Source organism: Homo sapiens, chromosome 12 (genome assembly GCF_000001405.40).
Source record: "Homo sapiens chromosome 12, GRCh38.p14 Primary Assembly".
NCBI lineage: Eukaryota > Metazoa > Chordata > Mammalia > Primates > Hominidae > Homo > Homo sapiens.
In genome coordinates this window covers 23,729,347-23,755,175 of record NC_000012.12, presented here as the reverse complement: position 1 = coordinate 23,755,175, position 25,829 = coordinate 23,729,347, and the positions used below count along the sequence as shown (strand labels likewise).

Here is a 25,829-nt window from a genome sequence, read left to right as displayed (position 1 = left end):
AATTTGTTTTGGTTTTATTTGAATCAGCAATTACATCCAGCTAAGAAAAGTTCTATAAAACTATTCATATCTTAATAAACTCCTACTAATAACAAGGGGAGAAGATTTAATTTCCTCATATAAGATAAAAGCAAATTATCCTTTCAATTAATTTAAAAGTATGTTTTCTCAAAACACAGTAGGCAATCTATGATAGTTTTCTATTTGTTGCTAGTAGGACACTTAAGATTCTGAGTTCTACAGTAGGATTTTAAGAAAATCAAGATACTTAGTCATCCGTATAAAATATTTAGTTATATATTACTGTGTACATTTTTGGTAGAGGCTGAATATACATTTAAGACATCACTAGATTTATATTATTATACATGTAGAAATAGGTGTATAAATAACTTTTTTGCATATGTGTGTCCGTGCAAGTGTTTTCCCAATGACAGAAGCAATTTTCTCTCTTAAGGCTTTACTCCATCAGTGTATCCTGGAGAAAGGCAAAGCATCAGTCTTAAATGTTTGGCCTACATGACATGAACATCTGGATATCTAAAAACTTCCGGAAAATGTTTGGCTGAATATTTCACTTTCCATGCAGATCATTTGGAATTACATGTATTTAGGCTATGATTACTTGTGAAAGGGTGATGAGAAAATGAATTGGTGCTAATCAACAAATTCAGTAACCAAAATCTACAATGGAATCAAATTCAAATGAATGAGAATCAATATGCCTTAAAGAGCTTGAAGAGAAAGTTTAAGGAGAACTGAGAAGTTTTCATCTTCAGAGGCGGCAGGTCCTTGATATTATTTTGATGGATTTTAACCCATTTACCCCTGAGGCATAAGATGCATTCTCCAAGGTTTTTTATTCTCCTCTGACCTAGGTAATAACTCAGAGTAGAGCAGCGAAGACTGCCTTTTCCAAGCCTTCTGATCTCATTCCAATGGAGGACAAACGTTTTTTCCCCTCCCTCGTTTTCCTTCACAAGTCAAACTTAAAAGCAGCAACAGCAGTGATGACAAGCTTAGAGGAAAGCTCAGCTGTCCCTTTCAGGCTTGCCTTGGGGGTTAGTTTAGGAAGCTACAGTACAATCACAAAAGAAGTTTCTGTCTTTAATTTTGAGTTTTTTAAGCTTCACATTCAGAGTATAAGTTAGGTTATTGTCCTCTGGTTCTGTTCAAAACACTGTTTTCTGATGCATTTTAAAAGCAACTGTAGGTCTTTCTTCTGTTCAGGGCATGGTTATTAGGTGTTCAACTCAGGTTTGGCAGTAAACCTAGAAAACAGCACTGGGTTACTTTTCCTACTGACTGCCCATGACAGTTGCAATTACTATCCATTGTTCATAGGTGGCTAGAAAGTGGAGAGGATACAATAGTGTGTTGCCCTCTGGGGGTAAGTGAATTTGATTTAAAGGTTCTTGTTGGGGTCAGGCACAAAGATTATGTAGGGCCCAGGAATGTAGTTTTCCTGCCGCTTCAGAAGTTAGACAAGAACAGTGGCGTAGTTGTTTGGGAAGTTATTTTTTGAGGCAAATAAAGATGTAAGTCTTATGCTCTCGTATACTTGTTTAGTTGAGGGAGGGAACAATAAGTAATCTTTTTTTTAAAATCTGAAAATATGAATGTATTGAATTGTTATTTATGAAGGTTAATTTAAAATAATGTATTTAAATAGAACCTTTGCATATGTTAGGATGTTTCCAGCCTTTACAGTATTCACAGAGTCTTGGTGTGCATGGAAACTTTTCTCCTCCATTTATATTAGCCAGTTTGCATTTAATTTTTAATTAGTTCCAGGAGATGTGTGAGTGAATAAGTGTGTGCGTGTGTGTGTGCCCTTTTCCCTTTTCTGAATATTTCATACTATAGCCAAGTGAGAAGTGAGCTCTGTTTTTAAGTGCTGTTTTAAATTCCTATCAGTGAATTAGTTTCAGAGCATTTGGACAAATATTACAATCATAGCTTGGAAGGGTTTAGAGAAGTGTTTCTTACTATTAATATTCAAAAAGTAAAAAATGATAGACTTTTTAAAATAGGAAAAATGAATAGCATTTGATTTGGAGAGTTTAGCTATCAATTAATGGTTGTCATGCCCACTTAAAGTCAATCTCATTTTTCAAGAAACAATGTGAGTTAGTAAAGGTCACCTACTTCTAAGAGCATAAAGTTATTTTTCATGTTGGATTATTTTACCTGTTAGAATTCATGCCATTTTATGCTCTGGTACTTTGGAAATGTGAATTAGGTTTTAAAGTTACATTAGAAACAATCCTCTAGCAAACATGTAAAAAGGACACTCGATCTGGTTTTGCAGAACAAAACAGTTTGACTGAAAAGTTCTGCCAACAACAGTCAATATATGCTATAAACTGATTAGCTGCCCAAAAGAAGTATTTGTTTCTTCTTTACTTATAAGCGATGTAGTATAACTGGTCAGTTTACAGATTCTTTTGCCCTTATCTATAGCAGAAGCACTGAGTAACAATAATGTGAAAGGTGAAGAAATACCTTTTAGAGTCTCATAGTTATTGAGTGCGGAGGGAGAAACAATGCCTTTACTCCGGCTGGCAACCAATAGTCACACACAATTTCAGCTAGCATGAAATTCCATTACACCGAAGGTCATTCATTGCATTGGTACCTCACCTGAGGATAGTATCTGGGGATCCATGTCGGCTTTAACTAATCTAAGCAGATCATTTGTTTTTCAACAAAGTAATTGCAAAATTTGTATTTTGCTGACTTAATGTTTATTTGTAGAATTATAACACAAATATCTGCATGCAAAATACTCTCAATTGTTTTTATCTTGATAAAAGCAGAGCTGTGTACGGGAGGTTCTCTGGCCAAGTCACTTTAAAAAATTCTAGACCAGTTTCTCTACCTGCCTTATTTCAAGAGTTTTTTTAGAGCCTGGTTTATTTCCCCTCAGAATCTCTGATGCATTCTTCTGACCCTGGTCACGGTGCATTAATTCAGGCCCACAAACTGTTGAATCTGTTTTTAACAAAAGTGCTAGAATTTAACAAAAATTCTAGACCAGTTTCTCTACCTGCCTTATTTCAAGAGTTTTTTAGAGCCTGGTTTGTTTCCCCTCAGAATCTGTGATGGATTCTTCTGACCCTGGTCACGGTGCATTAATTCAGGCCCACAAACTGTTGAATCTGTTTTTAACAAAAGTGCCAGAATTTAACAAAAATTCTAGACCAGTTTCTCTACCTGCCTTATTTCAAGAGTTTTTTAGAGCCTGGTTTGTTTCCCCTTAGAATCTCTGATGGATTCTTCTGACCCTGGTCACGGTGCATTAATTCAGGCCCACAAACTGTTGAATCTGTTTTTAGCAAAAGTGCCAGGGGCATTTGATGTAATTCAACAACTGGTTCTTTTGCAAGGCTATAATTTTGTGTATTCTAGAAGAAGGGCTATAAAGGCAAACACCAAACACTTCTAGAACTGCCAATAAGGGATTCAAGGAGATAATCCATTCAGCAATACTATAGCCTTTCAGAGCTCATGAATTAAAGACATGGGCAATGTAGATTCTGTAGATTCAGTGTGTGGATGAAAGTAGATAATCTTTTAGGTGGCATGTAAATGTTTGAGATAGAAGATGTATAGAGTCAGTCAGTGGCTTGAAAGGGATAATTACGTCTAAATAACATTAGATGATTTGAAAAAAGCAGGCTTAGAATAGGAATCAGATCCCAGGTAAAAAATCTAGTAAGGGATCCTATAAGTTTTATAAATTTAAAACATGGAAACTAATATTCAGCATTTCAATATGTAAGGGTTTATATCACTTCAAAAGTTGTTTCAAACATGTTCTTTTAAAATCCAGTAAAGATTTAAGAATCATGTGGTTTACGAATAGTAATCTTGTTATTATTACATTTGTACATTAACCTAAAACATGCATATCTGCACATTTTTACAAAGGGGTTGGAAATGTTTATTATTTTCTGAGAGAACTGTTGGATCTGGAATTTGTTCAATACAAGAGTCAGCCACAAGGAAGGTACACAACATGTAGTCATTTACTTCTAAATAAAGTAAATGTTTAATGTTTTTAATCTAACTAAGCTTGTTTTATAGTTCCTCTGTAGTTGCTTATGAGTAATGTTTTCACTTTTTGTAAAAACTATTTCACAAGAACTAAAGAAAGACTGCTGGCGCGTAGAATATAAGTTTTCAAAATAAGTTTGACAATGTCTATAAAAGCAAAGAGTGAGTACATTTTCTATAAACCAGTGATTTGCTCCGTCTCATGACGCCGGTGTCCTCATGCCAGTGTGTAAATACAGCTAGTGATCAGAAGAAAAGGATAGGTCACTGTATCTCAATTGAGCTGTATATTGACAGTCCAGTTGACAATTAGGAAATTTTATATACTTTGTACTTTTTAAGGTACTTAATAATGTGTGTTTTAAACATAAGGTTAATCAAATACTAAACTCTTACATATTTAATCTGGGCTTTATATTGGAAAAAATACTCTCCTCAACATGTTTCTCATTTAAAAATGCATTCATTCATTTAAAAAAATTGCTTGTTTGAGAAGCATAAAGATTCTAAAATTAAAATAATTATAAACACATTATTTGTTTTCTTGTAGATATGAATTCCAAAGCTTGTTTAAATACTCTCCAGACTATTGGGTAATGCAATTAACCTAAAACCTTTTCCTGTTTTGTACTAAAATTTACTAGGAAAGCATGGTGTAGCCACAGTGATTTGATGTTATGTGGACTGATTCTTCCAAGTACTTGTGGAAATTGGGCTACCACTTTTGGTTTATTTCCTCATCTACTCATTTTTAAAAAGTTGCCGATTATGATTTATTGCCTGCCACTTAGTGAACATCTTCTTACAGGCACTGCGTAAACATCTTTCTTACAAAATTATTGTGACAACATTATTTAATTCTGATTTTACATATGAAAAAATTGAGACTCAGAAATTAATTATCAGACACCACATACTCTAGTTGTGGCAGAGTCAAAATTTGAACTTAACTTCTCACTGCCTTTAAGGCCTGTGTTTTTTTATGTAATGCTTAGCAGCCTGTCTTCAACAGAGTTTGACTGGGTGATCTCTAGAATCTAGAATTAAAACTGGAGAACATTTCTAGACCTACCAAACCTGGATGAAGAACTTCTATAATTTGCATCCAAGATACTCCGTCCTTAGATCTGTCCCTAGCACACACACACACACTCAGTTTTGTATTTTTCCCTGTTTACATATTGACCAGCCCCTTGTAGACTACCTAATATTCTGTTGGCTCAAAGTTTGGAATGTAGTGCATATTTGAGGAAGGAATGACAAGTGAAAAATGCCATGTTTTGGGATAACTATTATTGACTACATTCCAAATGCAGCAGATTTAATGTGATATTTTAAAATAATGGTTTTTATATTTCAAGTACAATAAGTAAGTAGATGGAATAGTTTTGGAAAAAGTTCCTAAAATTACAGTCTCCATTAAAAGGTAACATTTTTTAATAATATGTTTTATAGAGCAATACTTTTTTAAAAAGGTAACAAGAATAACCCTTTCACTCACTATAGAAATTATAATGCGTACATCTCTTTCATAATGTCCCAGAAACAAAACATCTACCGTGGGGCAACAGTGGTGAAGACTATAGCTACTTGTTCATTATTTTATTCACTCTAATGGTGTCACCCTTAACATGGAAAGTTTTCCACATTAGATATATTTAAATCTAAGCCAAGGCCCACCTTTTAAGATACTGAAGCAAAAACAACAACATTATCATGTCAAAAGAAATCATAAACATATTTAAAAAGGTAAGAATACTTATAGTATTAGGGTACAAGAAGATGTCAATTAATTTATACTCAGTCATGTAATGAACTATAGTATTCCTTACATAATTTTAATTGATTCCAACTTCTGACGGGTATCTATATTGCAGTAAAGAATATGTAGCTAAATTTTGTCAAAGTCTGATTAAATTCTTTCTTAATGTAAAGAACTAATTAATAGATGTTTGCATGTAGGATAACCTAACAAATACTCCTTTTATGAGCTGTAATAGTGCCATTTTTATTTAGCCTTTTTGATGAGGGGAGGTCTACCTTTTCTCTTTTTGTTGGATAAGAGTGCTGCTGAAAGAAGCTTCCATTATAAATTTAGACTAACTTAGTTTTTATTCATGTTATTTTCAGTTTATTCAACAAAGGCTGTTATCTGTCTTGCCATGTGGTAGCTCTGGAGATATAATGGTAGCAAATACCATTAGTATTTAGTAGACAGATTCCTGCCCTCCTAGAGCTTATAGCCTAGTAGTAGTTCTTCATTAGGCGGAATATTAAAAGGCAATACAATGAATGATTTTTAGATGTTTCAAGTGGAATACCAGTTGAAAGTGACATTTCCATAAAAAAATTAAACTAAGTAAAGTCTTGTTCAAATTGTAACACTAGTAGTCTGACAAACACAAATAGTAAAACAAACAAACCACCCTGGCACAGATTTTCACTTTGAAACAAATAATTAAATTTTTGGTAAGTTTTTTGAGGGAAGAAACGTAATTAGTTTATTTTTAGCTCTAAACTTCTAGGACATTTTTTTCTAAAGTGAGTTTACTTGTACTTTTTCTTTATTTGGACAATAGTTCCCAATGGTTTACTTTGATTTTGATGATTTGATTTCAAGCCATTTATCTATTTCATTTGTGTGGAGTAAAACAATATTGGGGAAATAGCAATTTTCATGTATTTTTTCTTATTATTTCGATGTTTTTGAGATCATCTTTAATTCAACCCTGATGAGGGTCATTCCTGTGCATAAAATTGTACATTATCAGCTAATCAAGGACTTTTCTTTGTTCTTAAGTTTATTTATTTTATTCACTCAACAAATGGTCATATATCTGTATAAAGGTATCCACTATGTTGTTAGGTATTATTCTATAGATACTGGAAATACAGTGTTGAACAAAACAAATTATAATAGTGTCCTATTACCATAAAGCTTATACTCTACTGGGAGATACAATAAATAAATAACTATATCAATAAGAATATAACATATAATGCTAACTACTATAGTATAAAAATTGGGTGATGTGATAGAAAGTGAGATGTGATTGCTTTTATAATTCCAGTGGTCAGCGAAGGCCCTCCGAGGAGCTGGACTTTTAAGTTATTACCTTGGATAGATTTGATTGTATTCGTTTTTTTTTTTTTTTAATCTCTTTCATTTAAATTTAAGCTATCTGAAGGCATGCATTCTTTTCTGGCTTGTTCTCTTAGTATCCTCAACACTTAAAAACAGTATGAGGCACATGGGAGCTGCCCTGTGAACACATGCTGAATGAATTAAAGAAAAAAGCCAGTCATTTCAAGAGGAAGATTTTGCTCCACCAGGAGGAATTTGACAATGTCTGGAGGCATTTCGGGGCATTATAACTAGGAGTGAGGGTCCCACCTGCATCTAGAAGATGGAGGCAAGACCACTCCCCATGAAAATTGTCTGGCCTAAATGTCAACTGCGCTGAGGTTGAGAAACCTGGGTCTGGGCGAAGAGTCTTCTGAGGGTAAAAGTTAACATTCAAAGGTCCTGTGGTGGGAGCAAGTTTGCATATTGGTATTAGAGGAACTCATAGAAGCATATTGACAAAAGAGAAAACGGGAAGAGATAATGTCAGGGAAGAAGGCAAGGGCCACACCATTCAGGGCTTTGTAAGGGTAGGAGTTTGCATTTTATTCCATGTGCAGAATAAAGCTTTGAAACAGTTTTATACAGCCATATGGCATGACTTGATTTACCTTTCTAAGCAGATAACTATGAACGTTTGTTTGGAGAATGGATTTTAGTAAGGAAACAAGTAGAAATAGAGACAATGACTAGAAAGCAATTGTTGTAGTAAAGGCAAGAGATGATAGTGGCCTGGATTAAGGAGTAATAGTGGAAATGAGATACAGAGACTGATTTATAATATGTTCTAGGGTTGATCAATTTCCAATGAATTATATAGGGAAGATGAGGTAGACAAAAAATGAACACCTGGATTTTGACTAAGCAATGTATGGATGGTGTATTAGTCTGTTTTCACGCTGCTGATAAAGACATACCCGAGACTGGGCAATTTACAAAAGAAAGAGATTTAATGAACTTACAGTTCCACATGGCTGTGGAGGCCTCACAGTCATGGAGGAAAGTGAAAGGCACTAAACATGGCGGCAGACAAGAGAAGAGAACTAGTGCAGGGAAACTCCCCTTTATAAAATCATCAAATCTTGTGAGAATTATTCACTATCACGAGAATAGCACGGGAAAGACCCACCCCCATGATTAAATTACCTCCCACCGGCTCCCACCCACAGCACATGGGAATTGTGGGAGCTAAATTCAAGATGAGATTTGGGTGGGGACACAGCCAAACCATATGAGATCATGATGTCTTTTGCTGAGCTGGAGATGACTGAAGCTGGTTCCCTTCCCTCATGACTTTGTCTCATTATATTAAGGCATCTGACATGTGCTGCTTTTATGGAATACAGAAGTATAAATGACTGCTATGCCTGCAGTTTTTAGGCAGGAAGAAGACTGAAACAATATTTTTGTGTCTTACTTCAGTTATCTTTCATTCTAAGGGGACTGGAACAGGACTAGCATAGATTAAAAACATACAAGAATGCAAATAACTGAAACATGAAAATAAATTACTATCAGTCACACACAAGTGAACTCATGACATTAGCTATCTGACTCAGATGGAGCAAGTTCATATATACATGACTGTGTCTCCATAGGGTTATACACTATATAGACACACACATATATAAGTTATGACTCTTAAAAACCTGAATCTAGGTGAATAAAGAGTAGCTCCTTTTTGCTGGGAGGCCTCTGGAGTACTCCAAGGATCTAGTTAATATTCCTTCCACTTTTTTAAAGTCAAGGATGTCTTGTGACTCTTGCTACTTTCTCCGCTGTTCACAGACCACTTATTAAGTTCTCTCTAAGCACTTGGGGATGATCATGAAGAATGTGATAATTTAGAGATGAAGCCGTGGGATGGACTTCTTCATCTCAGTTTAGTACTTTTGTAAAAATGGTGAAGATTTCTTTTGCAAAAGCTTATTTTTTTGGCTCAACTCTCTTAAGCCAAAACTAGAATTCCTATGCATGCTTAAACTTGAGAATGGTTTAAAGGGAAGCGGCTGTATTCTTTATGTCATTCATTAAACGGTGTTAGATGATTTTCTATATGCAATACATATGCTATTTACCGTTACCTGTAGTAGATAATGAGGATAGAAAAGTCCATCATTTACAGTTGCTGCTATTGCAGCTACCTCTCCTGACTTTGGGAGAAAAATGTGAACATAAGATAATACAATGCAATGATTCAATACTATAATAAAGATCTACACATATGCTGTGTAGATTCCCAAAGAAGAGAACAAATGTTATCCGTGGAAATCAGGAAAAGAGCCACAAAAAACAAGATGCATGAGCTGGAGCATGAAGAATGAATGTTTAGGGAGAGACTGGCCCAGGCAAGGCACTTGTTAAGGATGGCATTTGCAAGTGCTCAGAGTGGTGGTGGTGGTGGGATAATGTTAGAACATTCAGTGTGGCTAGAATTTAGGATGCACAGAGGAAGTGGGACAAGTAGGTGATATTTTGAAGGACCTCGTTAATTCGCAATAATGACTTGACAGTTTTTTCTGAAGCCAATGGGGAGCAATTGGAGGTCTTTAAACAGGGGAAATGACAGGACTAGACTCTGACATGATATGACTTTGTTATCTAGGAAAGTAATTTTGGTACCAGTTTTAGAGGATAGATTTGTACAGAGATCAATTGATGACAGGAAGTTCTATTTTAAAAGTTCTATTTTAAAAATTTGTTACAAAAATTCATGAAAAAAGATGACAAAAATGGCAGTGAAGATAGAGAAGGCAGGATGGAAAAAGTGCTCTCTCTAAGTCAGTACAACAGTATTTATGTTATGTTATCATTTGCGTAAAAGGCATTCTTATGGGTTGAACTACGCACTTTCCCCTACCCACCAACCCTAATTCATATGCTGAAGTCCTAATGCCTAGAACCTCAGAATATGAACGTATTTGGAGACAGGATCTTTACAAAGGGAATTAAATTAAAATGAGTTTATTATGGTGGGTCCTAATCCAAGATGACTGGTATCTTTATAAGAAGAGGAAATTTGGACATGGGTATGTACAGACCGAGACGATGTGAACACATATGGAGAAGACAGACATCTGCAAGCCAAGGAAAGAGGCCTGGAACAGATCAACCCTGTTGACAACTTAATCTTAGACTTCTAGCATCCAGAACTGTAAGGCAATTTCTGTCTTTTAAACCACCCAGTCTGTGGTACTTTGTTATGGCAGCCCTGGCAAACTAATACTGAAATATTATTGTATATGCTTAAATCTGTGTTATCAAGGATAAGACACACAAAAAAATAATAATAGTGGTTACCTTTGAAGGGACAGTGTTGGGAGGAGATCTTTTACTATACACTTTTATCATTATTTACTAATATGAACATAATAATATTGAAAAATATAATTTTCATTAAAATTAAAGGAAAAACAAACCTATTTTGAGGAAAAATTACTGTGATTGATTAATATCAATGCAGGGATGGGTAGTTGAGAAGGAAATTGAAGAAGTTAATATTTTAGAATGCTGATTGGTAATAATGCTTTAAAATTACAGGAAAGTGGTGAGTTTCACTTTATCCATGTTGAATTTTATGACTGAGATACACCCTCAGAGATACCCCATTCTGCATCTAAAAATAGGTTAATAGGGCTGGGGGACAATCTTAGGGTTGGCACGTACCTTATTATTTCATTGAATGTGAAACTATGTATTTTAGAACTCAGGAGGTTAAAATCTGTAAAGCATTGTTGAAATATAGTTCTTAGAGTTTGAAGCATGTTAGTTCAAGGACGGAAAAGGTAAAGAATGGGACTGGGGAGAATATGGGCATTCATGGGTGGCAGAAGAGGAGTCAGTGAAAAAGATTGAGAAGAAAAGGTTAGCTAAGTAGGAGTTGAAATAGAATGAAATCATGTCTAGGAAGTCATGTGAGAATGCTGAAGATGCAGCAAGATGGGCTGAAGGTTCAAAAAGTTTGAACTGAGTATGGACTATAAAATTAGAAATTTTGTTTTAAATTTGAAATCTTATTTATGTCTTTATGACTAAGTGAAAACAAATAATTTTGTTAATCTTTCATATACTTAATGACAAAATGATATTTGTTAATTCTCATCACCAAATATATACAGTTGACCCTTGAACAGCACAGGCTAGAATGCCACAGGTCCACTTATATGCAGACTTTTTTTCCCAGCCAAACACAGATCCAAAATACAGTATTCACGGAATGTGAAACCCACCTATGCAGAGGGCTAACTTAAGTGGGTTTTGCAGGACCAACTGTAGGTGTTGAGTATGTGCTGATTTGCTTAAGCTTTTAACTTATACTTCCGCATGTTGAGGTGAAATAAGTTTTTTCTGAGTGTGGAAGTAATGTAATAATAACCATTGTGGAAAAATTTTCTAAATACAAAAATATGAATCCTAGCACTTTGAGAGGCTGAGGCGGGAGGATCACGAGGACAGGAGTTCGAGACCGGCCTGGCCAGCATGGTGAAATCCCGTCTCTACTAAAAATATAAAAAAATTAGCCAGGCATGGTGGCATGCGCCTGTAATCCCAGCTACTCAGGAGGCTGAGGTAGGAGAATCGCTTGACCCCAGGAGGCGGAGTTTGCAGTGAGGTGAGATCGTGCCACTGTACTCCAGCCTGGGTGACAGAACAAGACTCTATCTCAAAAAAAAGAAAAAAGAAAAAAATTAAAATGACCTATAATTCCACCACTTAGAAATAGCTACTATTAATATGTAGCTAAATTTGCTTTCAGTCTTTATTCCTATAAACATAGACATGTGCATGCATTGAGGTGAGTATACAAATGTTTCATTTCTCTCCAACTGCTTTTAAACCTAGCTTTATATCATAAACTAGATCCCATGTCATTAAATTTTCTTCAAAAATAATTTTTTATGGTTACAAAATACCATGGATGACCCATAATTATTTGGTTATTCTTATTTGACATTTAGGTTGTTTCTAGAATTTCATTTAAAACAATTAGTAATTAACCCACATTTCTTATGATATTTTTGGACTAGATTTTTTTTTTTTTAGGCAGTGTATCTCACTGCAACCTCAAATTCCTGGACTCAAGTGATCCTTCCACCTCAGCCTACCAAGTAGCTGGGATTACAGCTGCATACCACCATGCTCAGCTAATTTTTAAAATAATTTTGTAGAAATGGAGTCTTGCTATGTTGTCCAGTCTGGTCTCGAACTCTTGGCCTCAAGTGATCCTCCTTTCTGGGCCTCCCAAAACATTGGAATTACAGGCATGAGCCCCTGCACCCAGCCTTGGGCTAGGTTTCTAAAAGCAGAATTATCCTTCGTAGGTTATGCGCATTCTAAGACATGATGTGTATTGGTATTCCTAGTGTGTATTCCTTGAAATGTGGTAGAAATTTACTTCTCTATTAACAATGTAGGAAGATGTTTATCTTGCTAGCATATGAATATTTTCATTAAGAAAATCTTCCCAAGATATATTTATATTATTTAATATTAGGATATAATAGTCATGTGGCTATTATTCATGGAGTTAGTGTTCATTCATTCTGATGGAATCCAAATATCTGAGATATAATAAATTATTAGCAACACATTATTGACTACCTGCCTTGAATAAGGATAGGCATTGATAATAAGAAAGAGCATAAGAAATGGTTACTGCCTTATTCACACATTTTCTTTTCTGAATATTTCTTCTCTATGCTATATGTAAAATATGTTAGAACCCTTCTTTCTATTCCAAATGGTCATATAAAAATTATAAGCTACTAACTATAGCTGCTACTTCCTAAAATAGAACAAACTGTTTCAGCCTAAATTGGTAGGAGAAATGCACTGGGGTTAAGAAGGGTGATTGAGTTATAACAGATCCTTCTATCTAATTATGTATACAGGTGGCAAATGCAGTAGTAAAACAGTGCTTAGTGTCTTATGTTTGAAGTGAAAATTGTAATTAAAGAGGGTGTTCTCTCCTACTGGTAGTACTTTATCATAGGGGCCTTGTCTATCTTGTGAGTTCTAAAAGAACAATTAAAAGAGATACTGTTTCCTTTTCAGTGAACAGCACATACTTCTCTTATATTAAATATAAATTTTAACTTAATAAGATTCATTGGCATGTTTTAAATATCTTGAGTGTAATATGTGTTTTAAATGATTACCATGACTTCTCCAAATTTTGGATTTATGTATTAGCTTACGTGACCATAATGTGATGCTAATTTGCCAACCACATTATCTCACAATTGCTATATTTGTGTTCTCAAACTTGAATATTTGCTCAGTTAACTGTATTTTATTTTCGAAGATAGACTCTGAATTGGCATATGGGGAATACGCTCTAAAACTTGATTGGCTAGATAGATGTTTGCTCTCTTTTAACATAGAATTCTGAATCTTCAACTTTTTTTTTAAGAAAGGGAGAATCATATCACTAATACTAATGCCTTGACCTCTTAATAACTCTGGCTATTAGTTTTTTGTGTCTTTGTCTTGCCTCCTTAATTAGATGAAAAACTGTAGTACTTAAGGCCAAGAACTGTACTTGGGACATCTTTTTATTTCCAGCTGGCCCTAGCATAGAATATTAAAAACAGTAGATGTTCAGCCAACATTATTTTTAAAATTTACTTATAAAGTAAAAGTTAAAAAAAACTATAGATTATTACTGGTCATAAGTGTAAAAACATTCAAAATGTTTGGTCATTATGGAATTTCATTTGAAGTCCAATGTACTATCTATTGTGCCAGAGAGCCAAGTTCATTGTGGTATTTTGTAATAGGTAAATTGCCATCACTTTTTACTGTTGCGTGAAAATGTAAAAGAAGGTAGGTAATGCTTTTGTGTTTATTGAACTTTATATTTGGACTGGCTCTGTATACAACAGAGCCATTTTCATTGAAATAATTACTTTTTTTCATTTATTTTGTCTGTTTTATTGCTATATGATTTGTAGGGACTCCCGAGAGCTTAGCTGAGAAAGAAAGGCAACTCATGGGTATGATCAACCAGCTGACCAGCCTCCGAGAGCAGCTGTTGGCTGCCCACGATGAGCAGAAGAAACTAGCTGCCTCTCAGATTGAGAAACAGCGTCAGCAAATGGAGCTGGCCAAGCAGCAACAAGAACAAGTGAGTAAGAACTAGCGATGCAGTCATATTCCTCAGACATTACTTTGCCTGCTACTTATAGGTCACTGTCCTAGGCACACAACAATGAATAAGAGTCCCTTCCACCTCCCCAGTTAAATAAATTCAAAGGCCAAAAAAGCAAAACAAAACAAAAACCCACCCACAGACAAAACCCGGATTTTAAGATGCTTATTAACTACTTTGGTGGTAAGTAGTGTAGAAGTGATTATAATCAAGGTTAATTCTGATAAATCATGAGAAAAATACCAAAAAAGAACCATGGAGAGTCAAGAGAACATTTTCAACAAGAAGCATTTTGAAAGAATTCATTAGAGAGCTGACATTTGAGATATGCTTTGAAGAAATTGTGGGCTTCAACAAGTAAAGTGAGTTTCCAGCTGGGGGCAGGAAGTTCAGTTACAAGGCCATTATAATACTTTAAATTAAAAAGAGTGAGAATCTAAATTAGTCAGGGTAATGACCGTGGACAAAGAGATGAAAGGAATAAACAGGTGGAAGAGTTATGGTTAGTAGAATTCTTTGAGTAGGCAAAAGGGAAAGGAAAAGAGTTGAGCCTAGTAATAGGGAGATTGAGAATGCCATCACCAGAAACAGAGAAAGTCAGAAGAGCAAGTTTGGAAAAGAAAGTAGTTTTATGATGTTGAATTACAGTTCCTGTCAAGTTGTCCAGTTGGAGGTATGTGAGAGACAGCTGGAAACACCAGTCAGCATTTTGGAAGAGAGCTCAGGTGTTTCTTAGGTTATTTACAGAGAAATGGTGGTTTAAACTCTACTGGAGGAGATAACATTCATTCATTTATTTGACTAATAGTAATCTAGTGCTTCTTATGTGCCGGGCACTGTACTAACTAATTATTGAGGCTATCTCAATTAACCAGAGAGACAAAGCCCTTAAATATTAGTGGAAAGAAAGAGACAGATAAAGGAGCAGATAACAAAATGATATTATATAGTGATAAATAATTTGAAAAAATATAAACAGGATAATAAGATAAATGTTGATTGCTATGACAAGGCAATGCTCCTTAGATTGGGCAGCTAGATCTTTCTAAAGCTTTGGCAGTTGAGCTGGGATCTAAATGACATACAAAAGGCAGCCATGTTAATATCGGGGATAGGAGTGTTTTATGCAGAGATGTGGCAGGCTTATAGGCCTTAATTTACAGTGGTAATATTACAAGAAAGCAGAAAGGAACTAAGGGTAGATCTTTGGGAGATACTGGCTTATATAGCTGGCAGAGAAAGGAAAATGAACATATGCAGAAAGAATCAGATATGGAAGTGGGGCCAGGAGTGCAATGTCATAGGAAACAAAACGGAGATTTTAAGAGGTCTTGGGGAACAGTGTTAAATGCTATAGAAAAGTAATCGTTCTAATATCAAATTGAAACTACTAGATTTTTCATTTAGATTCTCATTGTTGGCCTTGAAGAGTAAGGCTTCTATGGTGTTTTAGTAGCCGAAATCAGACAATAAAAACTGGAATATACATAGTAGGAAAATGGAGGCAATGCCTATGAACTATTAGTTAAAAAAAATTGGTAGTAAATACAACGTAAGATAGAGGGGAGGTGATATAGTTTCAGCTTACAGATAAGTATGGCCCTCTTTTTCATGGCTAAGTCCTTTTCCTCTTCCATGTTCTGGGCATAGTCCATTCACCATCCCAGGTGGAGGATGGCCACTATTTAATATTCGTGTGTCTACACATCCCTGTAAAACCTTCTAAACATCTTTCAAAGTGTAAGCTAGCAGGGTTGAATGGCATGAAGAAATACTCAGTTTATGTTTGAGGAGCTCCTTTTTTCCACCCCCTTATTTCCATTGTACTCTTCTCTACTTGGTGGTTGATGTCTGCTTAAAAGATGTTCGTTTTATTTTTAATGAAATGCCTAATCACTTTCATTAAAGATATATTTGGCTTTTTTTTGGGTATGGCCCATATGCCTCTTGCTTTATCCCCATGATAAAAGAGTTCAGAATGCTTGCCTGTAACAGTATAAAACAACACCACTCTTTTCTTGTCCTTAACTCTCAATCTTTCAGTCAACTGAATTCTGGAGAATCCTAGGAGCTTCAGAAAATGTAGCTTGGCTGGGGATATTTTTTGTAGATAACCCCTATTTGCTTTGGTGGGTCTGAGGGCACACATGTCCTGAAAGATCTAAGCAATGACTGATGGAGAGGAAGCTTCTTTCTTATCTCTTTCACATTCTAGCCCATCCCTGAATATTATAAAAGGATTCTAGAATCCTTTGATTCTAATACTTTCCCAAGACCTCTGACATTCTCCTTGGAACTTTACAAACCCCTAAGTTCTTCAAGAATTTCTCTCCTGTATTGGAGAGATGTCCTGCAGTGCTGCCTCCACAGCCTGAGAGAAGATCCCTGGTGATAGCTACAGGTCATGTTTCTAGAGCCCATTCAGCTCTCCCAGCGCTTCTCTACCATACATGGCAGGCATGCACAGTTACCACTCTGTGGTGGCAGATCTTTTCATGAAAGACATTTAATACTTATTATTTAAGGGTCAGGGCAGGTTCGTCTTCTCCTGTAGTCTTTTTCTGACACTCCTCCCAGCACTCCCTACTGAGTGTAGAATGTCCCCATTCTATGTATTCTAATACTTCTGGTATAGCTGTTACAAAAGCTAAAGGACCTGTTTACTGATGAGCCTTTCCCCCAGATTCTGAGCTCCATTCCACATTCATCTATTAGATAAATATTCATTGACCACCAATTTGATGCCAGGTTTTGTTCTAGTTAGTGGGAGCAGAGTGGGGAAATAAAACAGACAAAAATCCCTTGTGTACTGAAATCTAGTTGGGAAGGATAGACAATAAGTAAACCAGTAAACTGTACGTTGCTAAGTATTATGTTGAAAACTTATGCAGGGCATTGGAGATGAGGGTATTATCTATGGGAATATGTTCTTTTAAAATGGGTGCTCAGGGAAGACATTTTTGACTGAGAACATTTGAGCAGAAACCTGTAGGAAGTGTAGGAGTGAGCCATGGGGCTGTCTAGGCAGAGTATTCCAGAAAGAGGGAAAAGTAAGTGCAAAGGCCCAGAAGCAGGAATATCCTTGGGAGGCAGGAGCATCCTTGGTGTGTACAAGAGGCAGTTAGGAATGCAGTGTGGCAGGCATGAGGTGATAGGGGATGAGATGAAATCAGAGAGGTAGCAGGAGACCAAATCATATAGGGCCTTGCAGGCATTATATGTACACCGGCTTTTTGCTGAGTGAGAGAGAAGTGTTTTGAAAAGATGACTAGCATGACTATACATATATATATGTATATGTTTGAGATGGAGTCTCGCATTGTCACCTGGGCTGGAGTGCAATGGCGTGATCTTGGCTCACTGCAACCTCCACCTCCCAGATTCAAGAGATTCTCCTGCCTCAGCCTCCCAAGTAGCTGGGATTACAGGTGCCCACCACCATGCCTGGCTAATTTTTTGTATTTTTAGTAGAGACGGGGTTTCACTATGTTGGCCAGGCTGGTCTCGAACTCCTGACCTTGCGATCTGCCCACCTCAGTCTCTGAAAGTGGACTCATATTTTAAAAAGTACTCTCAGGGTGCTGGTCTGTGATCAACTATAGGGAGCAGGAGCAAAATGGAGCAAATGGAGGCCATTACAACAATCCAGATGAGAGACACGGTGAACGGGAGAAAGTACGTGGGAGGTTGAAGTGGTCAGGTTCTGAAGTATTCTTAAAGTTCTGTTAAAAGGATTTAAATAGCATTTGAAATATTGCTATGTGGGAGGAAGGAACTAGACTTAATGAAAAAGGTAATCTTCCTTCTACTCTCTCTTTTACCACTTTCTTCAGAAAAAAAAAAAATCGTAGGTCGGGCACTGTGGCTCACGCCTGTAATCCCAGCACTTTAGGAGGCTGAGGCAAGTGGATCACCCGAGGTCAGGAGTTCAAGACCAGCCTAGCCAACATGGTGAAACCGTGTCTCTAGTAAAAATATAAAAAAATTAATCAGGCATGGTGGTGCATGCCTGTAATCTCAGCTACTCGGGAGGCTGAGGCAGATGAATCATTTGAACTCAGGAGGCGGTGGTTGCAGTAAGCTGAGATCGCGCCATTGCACTGCAGCCTGGGCAACAAAGAGCAAAACTCTGTCTCAAAAAAAAAAAAAAAAAGAGAAAGAACAAAATGTGTTTTTTTTTTACCATATTCCAAAGATAAAATTAAAGCATTAAAATAATTATAATTAAACCATCATCCATAGGGAAATAAATTTTTTTGCGCAGCCAGGTACATCCATCCTCATCACATGGGTTCTTTTGTTTATGGTGATGTGTGAATTTTTTCCTGAATTTTTGACTTTCAGGTATAGAGGTTAAGAGATTTTTTTTTTTATTATTTCTGAGACGGAGTCTCGCTCTGTCACCCAGGCTGGAGTGCAGTGGAGCGATCTTGGCTCACTGCAAGCTCCACTTCCCAGGTTCACGACATTCTCCTGCCTCAGCCTCCCAAGTAGCTGGGACTACAGGCGCCCGCCACCACGCCTGGCTAATTTTTTTGTATTTTTAGTAGAGATGGGGTTTCACCCTGTTAGCCAGGATGGTCTTGATCTCCTGACCTCGTGATCCACCCACCTCAGCCTCCCGAAATGCTGAGATTACAGGCGTGAGCCACCACACCCGGCCAAGAGATTTTTTTTTTTTTTTAATAAAAATGTTAGTGACTATTACTTGATGAGAATGAGATCTAGAACTTATTTATAAGAGAGTGATAAGTTTCAGGATGTTAGAAGTTATATCCTATCCCATGTGATGAAATGTTTACAGTTTTCATCTCATCTATTCATGCACTCTTATTAGATATCCATTCAGCATTGCTTTTGTAACGGACTTCCTGAGAACAGTGAGTAAAATATACATGGCCTCCACCCTCACTGAATTTATGGACTTCTCCCTAGGAGACAGAAAGATGTTACTAGCAAATAAATAAACAAATATAAAGTCACAGCATGGGCATAATATTAAGTAAATGTAGAAGGTAAATGTAGAAGTAAATGTAGAAGTAAACACAAATAACAGTGAGAGTGGTAAGTGATTGTGCTGTTTCCTAAGTTAGGAAATACTTAAGATGACTATATGGGAGGCTAAATCTCAAATTTAGTTTGGGACTTGTTGAACTTGAGGTTCCTTTGAATAAGTTTCTCAATAAATGGACCTGATGCTTAAAACAAAGTTCTAGGCTAGAGAAGCACATTTAGAAGCACTTGGCTTACATATGGAAGTAAGTATGAAGGAAAAGAACAAAGTCTAAAATTGAGCCTCAGAGAATTACAACATTTAATGGCTGGAAAGAGCCATTAAAGGTGACTAAGAAGGAGAAGAACATGAGAGGCAGAAATGAAACCAGGGAAGTATGATGATGTCACAGAAGCCAACAGAGAAAGTTCATGATCGGGGAAAACATTTGAGTGTTGAATTCTGATGAGAGGTCAAAAGACGACAACTGAAAAACACTTCAGAATTTTAAAATAATGCATGTGATTGGCAACCTTCTTAAGAATCATTTTGGTAAAAAAAAATGGAAACAGAAACCACAATAGCATGCACTGAGTTGGTGGTAAGGGGCTTGTGAGAGGCAGTAATGAGAAAATTACTTACCTAAAAACAAAAAAAATACCAAAAACTTTACTAATAAATACAGTGTCTTGCAATACTTTGTGCTACTCTGAACTCCTCAGTCTTAAACCTCCCCTTCTCCATTTGTGAAACACTCTGTTATAGAAAAGGGCTGAAAATGTCAGAAGCAGCGCCTTCTTAATATATCACTAGGAAGAGGGATGTTCGAAAAACAGACATTTCTTTCTGGGATTGATCACTGCCGTGGTATCTTAGGCTTCATTTGTTTTAGGCCAAAAGAAACATAACTGTTCCTAAAGACTAAATATCTTCCTTGATCTTATTTAGGATGAATTGCTGATAATTTAGGAGCACAGACACGTCTATTTTCATCATCTTAATCAGTGTCAAATCAAACTTTGAGAAACAGAACATTAGTAACTTCCCTCCGGGACTACAATATACTTGTAAATTTCTCATGTGCAATTTCTTCACAGATTGCAAGACAGCAGCAGCAGCTTCTACAGCAACAACACAAAATCAATTTGCTCCAGCAACAGATCCAGGTCAGAAATCATAATTTCAATATACTTACAATTTAAAAAATATATATTCTGTTTCTTATCCTTAAATACCTAACTGAAATGACCTCCAAAATAAAAATGACTTTCAAGCTAATTCATGACATAGCACCTCCTCTGCCATGGAAATCTTGCAAATGGTGTCTGGTCAGTCTACAGGCCCTACTGTGTCAGGGAGCTTCAATCTAAGCAAGCTAACAGTTATTTTCATCTTATGCTGAGAAGAAATTATTGTAGACAAAGGTTTCATTTTATCTACATTTTAATGTTAAAACGTGTCTATAAGTGTTCTTAACTGGATAGGTGCAGGGAACCAAAGCAGAAAGGTACCTGGGTTTTCAGTTAGAGAAGTAGTACCAGATAGAACTTTTTTATTGCATGCCCGAGAGCCATGTGTGATAAAGATGGAACATAGGGATGGTAATAATTTGGTGTTCAAGTCGATTTACCTGTGGTTTTGCCTGGAGAAAACAAGCCTGAAGGCTGTGGGACCTCCATATTTTTGTTATTTGGAAATTTGCAATAATAAGGAGCATCAATACAGGAGGAAGCAGCTGTATTGGTAACAAAAAGAAAAAAAGTTTCCAGTGATGTCTTGTTTCCACAACTTGCTAGTGTCATAAACTTTGACAAAAGTTCAGCTTTGTTTCCCTTCTGACAATTTACTTTCTGAACAGCACTTACTTCATAGAGAGATTTTTGAGGGTTAAAAGAAATCATGGATAAAGAGCCTTAGCATAGTGTCAGGGCTCAATACTCACTTGCTATGACTATCAAGGAACCTAATTCATGGAGCTATGAATCCAACCCCATGTGACATCATCCATCTGGAGGCCACTGTTAGCTTTGCAGTATGCTAATCTGGAGAGAAATTCATGATTCTCTTGAAGTTATATCTTGAGATCCAACATATTTTATTAAGTGTAAATATCATAAATGACAGGAAGCAAATGTGTCAAAATTATTTCACTCTTGTATTAATCATGTTTTAACTTCTTTGCCATCCAGATTTCTCCTATTGTATCTAATTGAGTCAGGCGCACCTAATTTTGATGGATTTAGCAGACCTATCACTGTTCCTTCTTTCTTATTCTACCTGGGATTTTAATGACCCGTAGATAGCTTCAGTGAGACAGTGGAAGTTCAGTGAGATGTTCCAGCCGAGGACATTTCCCCTCCTTAACTGCAATTAGGATCAGCACATTTCCAACATGTTATAATCCACTCATATCTGAAGTGTGGTTATTCATTTCAGTGGTTTAAAACTGTTCATTGAACTTCATATTGTTCAAAGTACACTGACTTTTTAGTCGATGGTACCTGGTTATCTGCATTTAAAATGTTATTAATTATCAAAGCATAGGTATTAATATTGTTATGGCACTTTCTTATTCTAAGTAAGGTAATTCCATAATCAGCAATGTGGTAGTCACTTGATTTTACTGCAATTTGACAAGTGTGCCAATAGTTTTAGATTTTTATAATTTTTGTAATACTGAAATAAGTCCTTTGTTAAACAGAATGGCAAAAATAGATTTCAACTCATATTGTAAATGGGTGTAAGGCTCAATAAACTGTTCCGACCAATTAGATTAGCCAACACCTTCAGTGCTTTCTTAGGAATTATTCCACAATTATGACCACTACATTCACAATGTGGATTTTAAGCCCTGTCATAATGACAAAAAGTTGAAATGGATGGATTCTTGCTTCAGAGCATGAAGCACTGTAATTTATAAGTCAGAACATTTTTTAATGAAAAGCACTTAAAAATTATATGTTCTAGAAATTCTAAGACTATAGGAACTGTATTTCAGAGAGCAAAGGCCAAGTTTAACAACATGCCCAAGACCACACAATTAGAAACTGGTAGAGCTAGGATAAGAAGCAAAGTTTTCTGACTATAATAGAACTTTTGTGGAGTATGAGAATTTTAAAAGCTTAGAATTTTTATTTGATCAAAGTGTTAGGTGGCCAGCCTAACTATTTCAGAGTGGGAAAAGAAAAAGTCCCTAAAGGAAATAAAGTCACACTGAAAGTAATTTGAGGGAAACATTGAGATATTGAGTTATATATGTGTGTTTGTCTTCTTTCTAGAGTTAGTGCAGATAAATGAAACTGACAGAGTCAAAACCCTTTCAGGCAACAAATAAGTACTGAGCAAGACTGATAACCTGAAAGAAATTCATTTTCACAGCTTCCAGTATATTCATTAACGAAAAGCATAGTTCTGAAATATATTTTGTCAATTGTTAATTTGGAGAAGTCTTATAAACACTTAATAGTTATGAAAGTAACAATATATTTGAATTGTTTAGTCTACTGCGAGATTGTTCAAACAATTATGGGAAGCTCTGATGTGGTGACATATGTAGAAATAGGACATTAAAAATGTAGAACAGACTAATTTTCCCGCCACATAAATCTTTGCCATATTTCATTTTAGAATGTTTTTTCTTCCCTTTTCTCCTTCTTCCTACTGCCTCCTTTTTCTTGGAAGCATAGGGCAAGGATGAAGACTAGTAAATATACAATCTGCTATCATGAAAGGCAATTGGAATGTATAGCAAATATTATAAGATTTATTTTAATTAAAAATGGATATATAATTGAATGCTCACAAAATAATTTACCATAGATTATCTTATTTGATATTTGAAAATACTCATCTAGAATTTCCATCTACTTTTTTCTTTTTTAAATACAGTGCCTTGATACCTTGTAGAAATAAACATACTAACTTAAATTATTCATCCTGATTGTACTTTCTTAGATGTTTTATACCATTGTTGTTGTTCCAGACCTTAGAAAACAACGCGTATATTGATGGAGTAGTAGACTGTAGCGTTTTATAGTCCACAATTAAGAATGCCTTTAAAATGTTTGTTTCATATATGAATACAAAAGACATTATCTTGGTCCAGTTTTAGCAAAGGAATCCAATACATCAAGTGGGGTAGACAGATCTGCTGTGTGAATTCGATTGATAAGAGTTAGAGCTGGGCAATTTTTTTCATTTGATGGATATGTTACATGACAGGAAAGATAATATTTTCCTACATTTTGCTCATTGTTGTTGTGAGATCTTGCTAAAGGAGAAGTCAATTTAGATGTCTTTATTCCATTTGAAATATATATCATTTGATTAAAAAAGCATGAACAAGTTTGTATGTTTATGTGTATGCACAAACATTTACATACTCTAATACCCCAGTATATTACTCAGGGCTCCCCAAAATGACAGAATCAATAGAAGATATAGATATGGATGATATAGATAGATATAAATATAGATGTAGGTATAGATAAATATATGAGAGGGGACTTACTGGGTGATTGGCTCACACAATTATGGAGGCTAAGTTCTGCAACAGGCCTTCTGCAAGCTGGAGACCCTGGGAGGCTGGCGGCATGGTTCTCAGTCCAAGTGCAAAGGCCTCAGAACCAGGGAAGCTGTTGATACAACTTTCACTCCAAGGCCAATGGCCTCAGAAGCCGGGAAGCTGCAAGTGTGAGTCCTGGAGTACAAAGATGAGGGGCCTGAAGTTGATGTCTAAGGACAGAAGAAGAGTGTATCCCAGTCCCACCAGATAGATCCACGCATTCACCTTTCCTCTGTTTTTGTTCTTTCTGGATCCTCAGCAGATTAGAAGGTGCCTGCCCACATTGAGAGGGTGAATGTTCCCCACCTAGGCCACTTAGACTCACGTGCTAATCTCCTCAGAAAGCAACCTCACAACACACCCCGGCATAATGTTTTACCAGGTATCTAGGTAATCCTCAATCCAGACAACTGGACACGTATAATTAATCATCACATCCAGGTTATTTCAAGTTTCTCTTGGCCTTTTTAATTCTTTCTCAACCTCTGATGAAAAGAGTGGTGGTAGGTTTAGCTGTATGGTAAACCTACTCTAGAGAAAATGCCATAAGAATCTGCAAGTGAACGGGTTTTATTTAATTGCTTAGGATCAGTTCTTTATGAACTATTTTTATTTCTTTAAAAAGCAACCTTAGCTCTAAAACTGCATAATTCTAACTGGATTAAAAACTCAATCTACATTTCTTCCTTATAAAGACTTTGTAGGGTTACAGTCTTCTGCCAGGTTGACCCACCTAATTCATTAAGGATTAAGAATGTTTTCTATTATTGTTTGCAATATCATAAATCAGTTTACTCTACAAATACCAGAAATATCCATCTTCCCTCAAGAACATGTCCACTTTTCTATGAGACTCTTAATTTTAGAAGCACTAAGAAGTTTGTCTTATTTTTCTACTGTTCAGGAATATTTCCCTCTAATATTTGTGTTTATTGACTTAAAAGATACTTTTTTAAATTTCAATTTACTGTATCAAGCTAACTTTAATGCATATTAATAGATGAAATTTGTAAATATTTTAGAATAAGATATCTTTCTAGAATTTTTGGAAGGGAAGCTCTTTTTTTTCCCTCTTACTCTGTTGCCTATTCTACAGTCCCCATCTTTTAGCAATTTTATTTCCTATTTTCTTTTTTACATTAAATCAACCTGTTTCTAATATTGATAGTTAGTTGCTTTATGTTTCCAGTAAAGATCCTGGACCAGTGGTTCATCTTGACCTGATTCACTGTTTCACAGGAAGTGACTGAGTGACTTCTACTCAGCTTTCATTATGACAACAAATTGAGTGTTCCTGGAGACCTAAGTTTCCTGTCATCTTGAAGCTTCTGGTGGGACAGGGTTTCTATAGTTTTGGGCATGTGTGTGAGAAGCGTGTCCTAGTTATAAGTTTCTTACTCCTTTTCAATAATACTTAGTGGAATTTAAGGTTCTTTACAGCAACTAATAGGGCTAATCCGACAATGCGTTCTAGCATGAAATCTACTTAAGATACTTTTTAATTGCAAGTTTAAAGATACTGTACTTCTTTTCAACTGCATATTTTATGATTCCCATACCAGGGCATCAGTGTTTGAACTTTTATAAAAGATTCCAAAAATTTACCCCATTTCCCCATCTGATTAACTTTTCCAACTATTGTTCATTGTGTTCTCTTGCAAGCAAAGAATTAGTATTTAATAATCTCCTGTCATTGTTTCTGATTCATAAGTTAAGCATGTGCAGGACTAGTCATACCTTTGGGTCACTGATTCTGTCAGGACCTAAGGGTAGAGCAAAGAAAATATTTCCATTCTCTTGTATTCTTAGTTTGGCAGTGTGCATTGCATAGTATGTAGGAAGGAACTTGGTTGCTTCAGGTGGTGTAGGATTATATTTACCTGTATGAAATGCAATTTTAATTATGTTGAATAGTTTTTTAAAAGATGATTGAGAACAG

The 25,829-nt window shown here is 35.9% G+C and overlaps 1 protein-coding gene across 42 annotated transcripts in view; it reads left to right on the top strand.

Moving 5' to 3' along the window:
* SOX5 (SRY-box transcription factor 5) overlaps positions 1 to 25,829 on the top strand; it is a 1,033,147-nt gene that overhangs the window by 807,475 nt on the left and 199,843 nt on the right. For all 42 annotated transcript variants that reach the window (XM_024449159.2, XM_024449158.2, XM_047429458.1 and 39 more), the window contains 2 exons: positions 14,137 to 14,309; positions 20,424 to 20,492. In XM_024449159.2, the coding sequence (XP_024304927.1) occupies positions 14,137 to 14,309; positions 20,424 to 20,492 (242 nt within the window). The remainder of the gene's footprint in view (positions 1 to 14,136; positions 14,310 to 20,423; positions 20,493 to 25,829) is intronic.